Source organism: Homo sapiens, chromosome 4 (genome assembly GCF_000001405.40).
Source record: "Homo sapiens chromosome 4, GRCh38.p14 Primary Assembly".
NCBI classification, from domain to species: domain Eukaryota; kingdom Metazoa; phylum Chordata; class Mammalia; order Primates; family Hominidae; genus Homo; species Homo sapiens.
This window is the reverse complement of record NC_000004.12, coordinates 168,677,529-168,689,874: the sequence shown is the minus strand read 5'-3', so window position 1 is coordinate 168,689,874 and position 12,346 is coordinate 168,677,529. Positions and strand designations below refer to the sequence as shown.

Sequence of the window (12,346 nt, the reverse complement as noted above, 5' to 3'; positions counted from 1 at the left end):
ATATCAGGACATTAATATTTCCCTCACATATATCTTCTCTCTACCCTCCTTCTCCAGAATTAACTAGCAATAGGGCCTTTTAAACTTTCTTACTATTTAAACTTCTGACTATAGAATATTGGATCTAGGCCAGGTGTGGTGGCTCACATCTGTAATTCCAGCTCTTTGGGAGGCCAAGGTGGGTGGGTCGCCTAGGGTCAGCAGTTCGAGACCAGCCTGACCAACATGGCGAAATCCTGTCTCTACTAAAAATACAAAAATTAGCCGGTCGTGGTGGCAGACACCTGTAATCCCAGCTACCGAGGAGGCTGGAACAGGAAAATCACTTGAACTCAGGAGGCAGAGGTTGCAGTGAGCCAAGATCACACCATTGCACTTCAGCCTGGGTGACAGAGCAAGACTCCATCTCAAAAAAAAAAAAAAAAAAAAAAAAAAAAAAAAAGAATATTGGATCGAATGTAAGGTGTAGGACTCTCAAAATAACTCAAACATAATTTATCCATATATACACCAAAAGCAAACAAATTCACATTCATTAGGAAGTGTGAATTGTTTTGTTTGTTTGTATGCATGTGTGTTTAAATTATCTGATGGGACAATAAATGATGTCCTGGAAAAAACCAATTCTGTAACCAATGTCCTGCAGTAAGTGTGCTAAAACCCTGAGGGAATTCTAAAACCTATGACATTGGCAGAAGAACTATAAAAGTCTAATGTGAAGTCTGAGAAGACATTTGATAGACATTTTGGTAGTTAACTAGAATGTCTTTAAGTGACAAGGTTTAGATGATCAACTATTTCTGATTGCGTTCTTTCTTCTTCCGTATTTTTAAATGGAGAAAATCTCTGGTTTTAAATCATATTTTTCTTCCTTTGTGACTGGGTCCATAGAATAGCTAATTTATTAGATCAAAACAGGGTAAGTGTCACTTATGGGGTCCAGCTTCTACGGATTAACCTATTAAATGTCTCTAGGCTTGTCCAGGAAGCTGTTCAGGATAGACTACAAATGGCACCAAAATATTTTTCATGCTTCAGCTTTGAGGCACCAAAAGAGACTTTGATTTATTCCTAAGATTATGCATTTTTTTTTTTCAGTGTCGGAAAGTCAAAGATGTAGGAAATGGGTAGATGCCAAGTAACTTAATCAGTCAAAGCTCCACAGTTATTCCAGGATTGCCATTTGGATCCTCCTGGAGCTAACATTTTTATCTTGGCAAAAGCCATGGCTAAACATAGTAAGCCATTAGGAGAACCTTCGGGAACATAACAAGGAGCCCCAAAGGAGACTGAAAGTCAACCTTTACAGGATGCACCTGGCAACCTGGATCATCTACTTTGTGTAGGATCTGGGGGCCCTGGGGGTTTCAGGATCCTTACAAGGACCCCTCTGGCCATACCATCAAGTCCACCTGACATTGTGATTCTTTGGAGGGGTCTATTTGGGAAGAAATGTCACATGTACGTCCATGCTACCCACAGTCCTGTGGTCCACCAGTCTGCCAGGTGGCCTGCAGGCAGGAGCACTGGCTCTGCCTCTGACCAGCTGTGAGACCTAGGAATCTCTTCCAGAGTAGCATGAGAAAACAGATGGAGGTAACCCTTGGACTATGAAAGCCAGCCCACCTGCCATTCACTGTCATCATCATGCCTAAGAGAAAGCCCAGTGAAGGTGCTATGAGTGACAAAGTAAAGGCTAGTTTGAGTTACAGAGGAGATCAGCAGGATTATTTTCTAAACCTACCCCTCCAAAACCAGAGACCAGGCCTAAGAAGGACCCTGCAAATCAGAGACAGAAGCTGCCTAAAGTGAGAAAGGGAAAAGCAGATGCATCAAGGAAGGGAACAGCCCTGCAGAAGAGAGATGTTCCATGGTCCAGACACAGAAAGTGGAAGGCTGGAGAAGTGGCTCTGAGCTTCCAGTGGCTCTGAGCTTCTAGTGGCTCTGAGCTTTCAGTGGCTCTGAGCTTCCAGTGAATTGACAGTTTGAGAGTTCTTAAAAATCAACCTATATAAAGAACAGAGTTTTGGTTTACTTCTCTTTAAAGCTGTGCTGTTAGCACAAAGAATGCTTCATGGTTATCTTTTGGGGAAGGGGGAAAGACCACTAATAGAAAGTCTATGTTGCGGGAGCTGGATTGCAAGGGAGGAAACAGGATTTTGTACTTAGTATTTGAGAGTTCCTCTTGGTGCCCAGGAGGAATTCCATAATATCTACACATGCCAGACCCATGCAGGAAAGCCCGGTAGTGAAAGAAAGCAAATCTTTGCTTCCTCTTTTCCTTCCCTTGTGCCACCAGCATGGACTTTATTTGTTTAAACCAAGAGGCGTGTTGGGCCCTGGCACCCCCAAATCAACTGTGTCTTGGATACCAATACATTGGACAACACACCCTTTCTGGTGATGACCTTGGGAAGCTGCTTGTGCAAAACTCTTAAACTACATCCTAAATGTGGAGTGTCCACCCCTCTGTAAACATTTTCTGTTCTAAACATCAAAGGAAGACTTCATTGGTTATCAGATTGACATGGTTTTAGGCAGGGTTTTACATAACTTCTTTTTTAGTAGTCTAGCTAGGAGGGTAGTTTCCAAGTTGTTACCACCTGTTATCATTTGTTGCCTGTGCCCAACTGGAAATACTATAACTGCTTATGAAAAGATATTTTATAAAGCTTGGATTCAACCAGCTGAAGGGAAAAAAAATCACTCCTTCTATGGAGATTACAAAAATGCTTTTCTTTACTGCCTCACAAAAGTTTTATAGATTTGCTTTCACATTTGTCTTTAGTTTACTAGGAATTGTTTGTCGTGAAAAGTATGAGGTAGGAGTCCAACTGGATACTTTTTCACCTCTGCTGAAGAATTCATTCTTTCTCCAGCAATTTGCAAGTTTCTGTAGGTATTCAGAAACTTTGTGGGCTCTACTCCGATTACACATCAATTTCTCTAGCCTTGTACCAGTACCATACTGTCCTAATTACTATACCTTTAAAACGTCTTGCTATCTTATAGGACAAATCCCACTCCTTCCTAACACTACCTTATTTTCCTTCCTCAGGTGTATCCTGGCTATTCTTAGCCACTTTTTTCCTCCACACAACTTTTTGAATCAGGTTGCTAAATTCCATATCAAACAAACAATTAAAAACCAGGAACCTGTGCTTGCTTTGGCAGCTCATATATACTAAGATCGAGATGATACAGAGAAGATTAGCATGACCTCTGCACAAGGATGACATGCAAATTCGTGAAGCGTTCCATATTTTTAAATGTGGCTCATATACACTATGGAATACTATGCAGGCATAAAAAAGAATGAATTCATGTCCTTTGCAGGGACATGGATGAAGCTGGAAACCATCATTCTCAGCAAACTAACACAGGAACAGAAAACCAAACACTGAATGTTCTTACTTATAAGTGGGAGTTGAACAATGAGAACACATGGACACCGGGAGGGGAACATCACACACCTGGGGCCTGTCGGGAGGTGGGGGACAAGGGGAGGGATAGCATTAGGACAAATACCTAATGCATGCAGGGCTTAAAACCTAGATGACGGGTTGATAGGTGCAGCAAACCACCATGGCACGTGTATACCTACATAACAAACCAGCACATTCTGCACGTGTATCCCAGAATTTAAAGTAAAAAAAACAAACCAAACCAAAACAAAAAAACCCAGGAAGCTGCTAGAATTTTAGCCAGATTACATTAAATACAGATTAATCAGGGAGTCATGGCTTTATACGGTCTATTAGTCTGCAAGCATGTCATATGTCTCCATTTATTTGGGCCTTTTAAAATGTCTTTTAATAAAGTTTTATAATTTTCTCTAAAAAAAAGGAAGGAAAAAGGAAAAAGAAAGAGAAGAAATGCTATATGGAAGCATTTCTGACTTGAGAGGCTGACCAATGAAATGGATGTCATTCAGCCTGGCAATGCAAATTCCGGACTCAGGACAAATGGAAAATTAGTCAGTTTTTCTGAATTTCTATAAAACTTGCTAGATCTCCTAAGCAATTTCCTACACAGCAGGTTTTTTTTTTTTTTTTTTTTTTTTTCTATCTGTCTTGGCTTTCCCACTAGATTTTAGGCTCTATCAAGTTCCTGCTCACATCTCTCAGAACCCATCACAAGATTACAGTCACACGGCAGTCGTTCAACAAATATCTATTTAGTCCCAAAGGTAACCATGGTAATCAGCCTACTAATCTGTTCCTTTTAATTTTTAAAGATTGCTACACGAAGCCACATGTAAATGAAATTTAAGGACCAAAGCAAACACAGAGAATGAGACTTCCAGATGTCAGACCTTTGTAAAAACAGGAGGAAAGTAGGCAGTAGTGGTTCCATCAGGTCGGCAGAGATATGAAGTTGGACTGTGAACCTGCAAAAGCAGAGACATATGGATCAAATTCTAAATATATAAATTGCCTAAAAGATGGGCTGAAGAAACCTTTCATTATGGGGATCACCCACTTGAAGGAAATGAGTGAATGAAAGTACCACCATACATCATTTTGCTCGTCTGCTCTTACAGTACAGACATTGTTCCACTTCCTCATTTCACATCTGTTACTCTTCTCTGTTCAAAAGGATATTCAAGGTAAAAGTTCCCTGGGTCCTTGGGGATCCACGAGCTTTTAAATGCTATTACCAAATGGATTTCTGTGTGTGGGACTTCCACATGCGTCTTTTTTAAAGTTCTCGTAGACAATGTATTTTATTTTTAAATACAGTTTGGATTCAATGCATAAAAGCCATTGGCTATTGGCACTGGAGGGTAAATTATCAAACATCTACCTATCTTATTTAACTTGTACTCTTTTTTGATATAGGGATTATGGGAAAGGAGAGAAAAGAATTTTTTTTTATTGACGTGCAAAAAAGAAACGTGCTAAAATACCTATTCAATGACATTCATCTCTGGAGAAATATAAGGATTTCAGAGTAGTGAATGGAAAATATTTCTTTGTGTACTATCACTTATTTTTAAATGATCTGGATTTATTCACTTATGTAAGTGGTTGTTAGCTTCTTAACCCAAGATGATGGTGATCTGGTATCGTGTGTCTAAATATGCCACAGGACATCATGAAGAATTGTGGCAGAGCGGTAGAGATGCTAGGATGCTAATGGAGTTTATTCATTAACCCTGGAAGACTTTACTGGCCTGTGATTCAAGAGGTCTGGGTTTCACTTTTCACTGTCTTTTTATGTCCCAAGAATATGTGAACACTCTTATAGTATTAATATTTACTCTATGCCAGGGACTGTTCCAAGTGTCATATGAAGATTAACTCACTGGATCTTCAGGACAAACTTATGAGATACATAGTGTTATCATCTTCATTTTACAGATGAAGAAACTCGGCTTGAAGGGTTACATTTTATTTGCTTAAGGTCCCTCCGTTAGGAAGTGATAGAACTGGGATTCAAACCCAGGGAGTCTGGTTCCAGAGCATTACTTGATGTCACATTGCCTGCAATAATAAAGCGATGGAGTTTCTCTGGGTGCTTCATTCTCCCAACTATAAACATGGGGTAAATTACCTTCCATTCCATGTCTTTGTAGAATTTAATCCATTTAAAAATTCACTCTTTACATTATTATGGTATTTACATATCTAGATGTGTGTGTATCTCTCTATTTCCTAGGCTTCTGTCTTACATCTAAATACATTCTGTCACATTCACCCCATTTGGGAATGGGGTGGGTGACATTTTTTCCTGTCATGAAATGCCTAGCACCGTACTAAGCACTCAATAAATATTTATCAATATTTAAACATCAAATACCAAAAAATGCCCACTGATTTAATCAAATATTTCTATAAATTCCACTCTGATTAAGGGGTTTAAAGGAAATATGTACTATATATGCCATCTCTGAGTAACTGATACTTGTTGATTCAAGTTTATGGACCCAAATGTCTTCTCTCTACTGTTTGTATTTTCCACATATCGATAGCACCTATTGGCCTCTATAGTGGCTGAAACACCCCTGAGCATTCAATAGGTAATAAAGGCTGAGGGAGGACATGGTGATACTTATAAGACATACTCATTACTTAGGAATGAGTTTACATTTCCAGACTGTGGGGGAAAACCTTTCTGTGAGTGTTGTCTTTGAACATATTCATTAAACCATGATTTAGAGACATCCAGATGTAATGGTTTTCTACTTTTTTTTTTAAAAGAAGTTCATATTGTTTGTGTTTGCAAAGTAAATTCATTACAACTACTTTCCAGTAGTTTATATTATTGTTCTTTCATGGCTATAGCAGTCTTACAATAAAATAAAAGCAAGATCAAAAAGCATGGTGAAGTCAAGGAATTTGAGTTGTTTTTTCTTATTTGTTTAGCTTTTAGGAGTGGGAAAGCTTTTTGTTGGTATGCAGACTTGTCTTTTAATTTGTAATGAGCTAATAAATTTGGCTATATGAAAGAGCATACACATGTGAGGGAATAATCAAATAGTTACAGCTAAAACAGACACCAGTTTATCAGATTATTAGCTGTTAGAGAAAGAAGTTCCCAATGGAAATGCAAATGTTGACTAATTGGCAGTGTGGTTTTGGTTAAAGGTTGTTTTTAGTGAACTGAAAGGAGAAACATTACCTACAATTTTCTTTGCTCTGAATTTTGTGTCCACTTAGAAAATATTTCAAGGGAGTATACTAGTTAGAATCAAAGTCATATTCTTAAAATCCACAAGTTTGCTGATGAGTTCGACCCCTTATGGGCTCTGGCTCAAAGCATACTTACCTGTTGCACAGGGACAGACAGTGGTTGAATCACAGCTGTGGTCACCCCTGTCTTTGGAGATGATGATCCTATTGTCAAGGAAACAGAAGTTGTTTTCTTTTGAGCTCTGGAAAATAGGAAGGTGAGTGTTTAGTCAGAATATTTTTTGTTTTCGTTTTTTTGTTTTTTTTTTTTAGCAGAAATAATTCCTTGAAACGTTTCAACAGAAAAGCTGGGTTTCTTTTTGTATACGCAATCCGCTTCAACTGTAATTGCTTCCACAATGGGAATGCATAACCTACAGCTAGAATAGCTGTGGTCAGTATATACATGTACCTTATAGAATGTACCTTATAGACATTAAGCAAAATCAAAACATGAGTAAAAGAAAAGTAGCTAGATGTAACTGAGACGCTGTTGAAGATGCTAACGTATTAAACTTGAAAATCCTAAGAGAAAATATTTGGAAAAAATCCAATCTTTATTGATAAGCAGAGATTTGAAATGTTTAGGGTTAGGGTCCTATATTTAACTCAAAGTTTTGGTTGTCTATTTTAAGTCTAACAGCTGTTCTTTTTTCTGGTTTCTAATTTTGTTGTCGGTATCTTGGAATTTTTGTGTTTTCTTAGTGCATATAAGTTAGTGAGATATTTAGAGAAGATTAAGAAGAGTTGATTTCTAGGCCCAGCTTTGTCAAGTAGCTGGCTGTGAAATCTGAAGCAAGCCATGTAACTTCACTAAACTTGAGCTCCTTATAAAAACCAGGGGTGGTAAAATAACCTTAGAAGATCCTTTAAGCATCACTGATTATTTGATGCTGAATGGATATAATTTTTATGTACATACTAGCAGATAAAAGAAATTTATTAGAACAGACTCAATATTTATGGACTTTTCCATAATAGGAATTTCTGGTAGATTTTATTTTTGCCAAATAATTAAGATATTAACATTTTAATAATTGGTATGTCTTTGTAGGAATAACTAAGTTTTGTGAATTTCGGGTACAAGATCTAAATAAATATAGATCGTATCCAAAGGAGAACCTACTTCTGGCCTAATTAGATATTTTCCAACTTGCATAAATAAATTGGTCCTCACATTTTAGTAATGATTTAATTGATTTTCTCTTAATGTGACTTCTCTTTCCATACATTTATAATAAATTAGATGGCTGTCTTTGAAACTAACATTGCATATGGTAAAATTCTGGCATATCAATGATGAAATGCAGACTTCAAAGTTCAAATTTACAAGTTAAAAATTGTGTTCGGGCTGGACATGTTGGCTCATGCCTATAATCCCTCCCAACAATTTGGGAAGCTGAGGCAGGAGGATCGCTTGAGTCCAAGAGTTCCAGATGAGCCTGGACAACACAGTGAGACCCCATCTCTACCAAAAAATAAAAAAAGATTAGCCAGGTGTGGTGGTGTATGCCTATAATCCCAGCTACTTGGGAGGCTAAAGTAGGAGGACCACTTGAGCCTGGGAGGTCAAGGCTTCAGTGAGCCATGTCGCACCACCGTACTTCAACCTGGGTGACAGAGTGAGACCCTGTCTCAAAAAAAAAAAAAAAAAAAAAAATTGTGTTCCAACCTCAGTATTTGATCTCTGATTAACATCAGTTGACTTTTTTCTTCAAAGCACAGCAAACATGGTTTCATACCCCAACCATTCTGTTGCCATTCTTTGTTTCCACATAATCGATGGAATTGTAGGCACTTACTGTGGCATAGCTCCAGCTCTTGATTTGAAAGCTAAACTTTCACTGTCAGAATCTGTTGAACTGGCACCTGGGAAAGTATTAAAGATAATGGTAAAGTTAAGATATCAGTGTTATCTATAATAATTGCAAAGAATTATATTTCCCTTAAATAAAATAACATACAAAGTCTTTTTGACCGAAACACACAATAAAATAGAGTGATTCAGGCTCAGACAATTTTTTATTTGTACTGTTTCTTCAGAAACTCATTTTTAAAAAGTACTACTATAAATAGCTTTCTTCAAAGCAATATACTTTTAATGACAGATTTATTATTAATTTCATTTTTATCACTGTGGTCATCACAACCGTACTTTTAAATGGCTATAAACTATGAAATAAAGATGTGTGTGTGTTTGTGTGAAGAATACCCACGCTTTTAAACTGTAACCTTCTCCAGAGATTGCAGGGTAAGGACTGATGCTTTCTGGCTCCTGGGTAAAACTGAGTATGACAGTGGTTCTGTTCTTGAATAAGAGGGCCTTTGATTTTGGATCATGCCTTCCCAAATTCACTTGCATTATTACTGTTCTTAAATAAAGGGTCAACTTACCAGATTTTTAGTCAAAAGGTAAACTGCAGTCAGATTTTGATGTTTACATATTTCATGTCAAGAGATTTTAGGTGACAGACTTAAAAAATTGCAATGGTTCAAAGTATATTCTTAATGTTTCCAAGATACATTTAACTTGGGTCACTTATATTCTTTTATATAATAATACATGCTTATAGGAAAATAACCATATAGCACAGAATTGTGCAGCCTAATAGTAAAGATCAGTGGGTACCTTCCTAAATGCCATTCCCAAATACCACATTAAGTCTGATGTGTATTGTTCCAGATAAGTGTTTTTTTTTTTTTTTTTTTTTTTTTTTTTGAGACGGAATCTTGCTCTGTCACCCAGGCTGGAGTGCAGTGGCGCAATCTTGGCTCACTGCAACCTCTGCCTCCTGGGTTCAAGTGATTCTCCTGCCTTCTGAGTGGCTGGGATTACAGGCATGTGCCACCTCGCCCTGCTAATTTTTGTATTTTTTTTTTTTTTTAGCAGAGATGGGGTTTCACCATGTTGGCCAGGCTGGTCTCGAACTCCTGACCTCAAGTGATCTGCCCACCTCGGCCTCCCAAAGTGCTGGGATTACAGGCGTGAGCCACCGCACATGGCCTGGATAAGTTTAATACAGCATATCAACATATTTACATTTATGTACATATTTATACAAATGGATTCACATGGCATGTTCACTTGGCATTTGGCTACTTTTGCCTATCAGTAGATTTAGAATACATACGTTCACTGCATTCTCTTGGATAGCTGCCTGGTATTCCTTCCAGTGACTCTACTGTGATATGTTTTCCAGTCTTTTATTGACATTGAAAACAGTCATGTTTAGGTAACTCTGCTGGAATGTTTGCTGTCCCTTCCTATTTATTTCTGTGTCTACCATCCAGTGTAGGCTTTCTTTGCCTGGGGCCTGGACTACCACAATCCATTCTTGTCTTCCCATCTCCTCCTTCTCAAATTCATCGTTGCCCTCCCTGTGTCGGCTAGATTTTCCTAGAGCACACTTTCCCTGTTAAAAATGAGATGATTAGAATCTCTACTCAGTAAAATAAAAAACCCCAAATTTGTCATTTAATGGCCCTCATGATTTCCAACTTCATTTTCTACCTCTATCTGCCAGAACTTCTTGGACTTCCAAGTCATGTAACCTTAAGTCAGAGAGCTGAGTTCACCTGCACATCTAATGGTGTGCACTCCATAAGTAAGGGGGATACGCAGTGAAGAGGACACACACACACACCCCACCACACACTCCCCACACACCATATCCATACATACCCCACCACACACAAACACACACACCCCACCACACACCACACCCCCCCACACACGTCCATACTCACCCCACCACACACACACCCCACACATCCATACCCTACCACACGCACACACCCCACAGCACACCACACACACACACACACCCACACACATCCATACTCACCCCACCACACACCCACCACACACATATACCCCCCACCGCACACCACACACACACCCCCCACACACATCCATACTCACCCCACCACACACACCCCACCACACACCACACACACACCCCACACACACCACACACACACACCCCACACACATCCATACTCACCCCACCACACACACACCCCACCACACACCATGCACACACACCCCCCACACACCACATCCATACTCACCCCACCACACACACACACACACCCACCATAAACACCCCAAACACATCCATACTCACCCCACCACACACGCACCTACACACACCCACACCACACACACACACCACACACTATACCCATGCTACACATACCCACACCACGCACACACCGTACCCACACCACACACATCACACCCACACACACACCACACACACCCTGCCACACCCACTGCACATACACACACCACACATACACACCTCACCACACCACCACACACACGCCACACCCACACGACACACCACACACACCACACACGCACACCATACCCCCCCACACACCATACCCACATCCACTACGTACACCACACACACACACACACATACCCCTCTGATCTTGTGAGGACACAGAAGAGAAATAAGTACATGATACGGTGGTGAGTGAAGCAGGAAAGTCATCAAGCAGGGGAGGGGCACGGGCTGTGATGGGACTTCCCGGGGGGCTGCAATTTTAAGGATGGTGGCAAGGAAGCCTCCCCTAGGACACAGAGAAAGTGGGGACTCTCTCTCCCTGCTTGTTTTCCATGCCTGTACCTTAGTCATAGTTTTCACTCCTTAGGAAACTCCTATCCATCTTTTCTTGATACGCTATCTTCCACGGTCAGCCCAGGCACTATTCTGTGCTCTTTCTCTGAACTCCCAGCGTTCTTGTTTACAGCACTCACGTCACCTAGAATATCATGCCTGCTAGAAAATGATGAGTTCCCTGAGGATGGACGCTGGGTTAGAAAGGGAACTACCAATTTTTGCATATGTCCTATGTGCCCGGCGTCTGCTGGGCACTTTACCTCATTTAATCATCATCATAATGAACCTCACTAAGAAGTGAATTATGTCCAATTTATAGACAAGGACACCAAGGAACCAAGAGGTGAAGTAATTGAAGGTCACATAACTAGAAAGCAGTGGTGACAGGCAAAGCACTGTTGTTGTTGAGCCTCGTGGTCTGTGACCTTGCCCCCACACCACGTGACCTCCAGGTGGCCTTCATGAGGTGCGCGCGTGTGAGTTCCTCAGAGGGCCTAGCTTCATGCCTTCCTCATACACACCTTCCAGGCTTCTGCTGGAATGAAGAAAGAGAACTGGGAAGTGGTAAAGCTTGTCTGGGGACGAGGCGCAGATCGTGCAAGGAGAGAGGAGCAGCAGGCTGGGGGCAGTAACGGGAGGCAAATCTCGAAACACAGGCAGGACTGGGACGCTGGGGCTGACTTGTTTGAACCTGGTCGTGTAGGCACCGAGAGTGGGGGCTGGAAAAGTCAGTGTGCAGGATTAACTGGCGGAGTAGGGACACAAACGGGGCAAACAACAAACCATCAAAAACAAGTTATGGGCCAGGAGAAGTTTTCTCTGTGATGAGGAGATGCAGGGAGCTGAGAAACCCTGAGGAAAAGCCAGTGAAGGCGATCAGAAGGTCGGGGGTGACCCGGGAGACCATTTTACTGGAATCATAAAAGCATTTAGGAGAAGGGGAGGGGTGGCAAAAACCATATGGAAGTTATCACACACACTCTCAAGGTAGCGAAAAATTGGGGAGAGAAAACAGTTACTTTTCACCTGATTCAAAATGTT

General features: G+C 40.5%; 1 protein-coding gene and 1 pseudogene across 17 annotated transcripts in view; one reads left to right on the top strand and one right to left on the bottom strand.

Moving 5' to 3' along the window:
• PALLD (palladin, cytoskeletal associated protein) overlaps positions 1-12,346 on the bottom strand; it is a 431,390-nt gene that overhangs the window by 238,567 nt on the left and 180,477 nt on the right. For all 17 annotated transcript variants that reach the window (XM_011531768.3, XM_011531769.3, XM_011531771.3 and 14 more), the window contains 3 exons: positions 8,477-8,543; positions 6,772-6,877; positions 4,316-4,390 (listed from right to left, as the gene is read on the bottom strand). In XM_011531768.3, coding sequence (XP_011530070.1) covers positions 4,316-4,390; positions 6,772-6,877; positions 8,477-8,543 — 248 coding nt within the window. The remainder of the gene's footprint in view (positions 1-4,315; positions 4,391-6,771; positions 6,878-8,476; positions 8,544-12,346) is intronic.
• On the top strand, positions 3,159-3,267 carry RNU6-1336P (RNA, U6 small nuclear 1336, pseudogene; annotated as a pseudogene).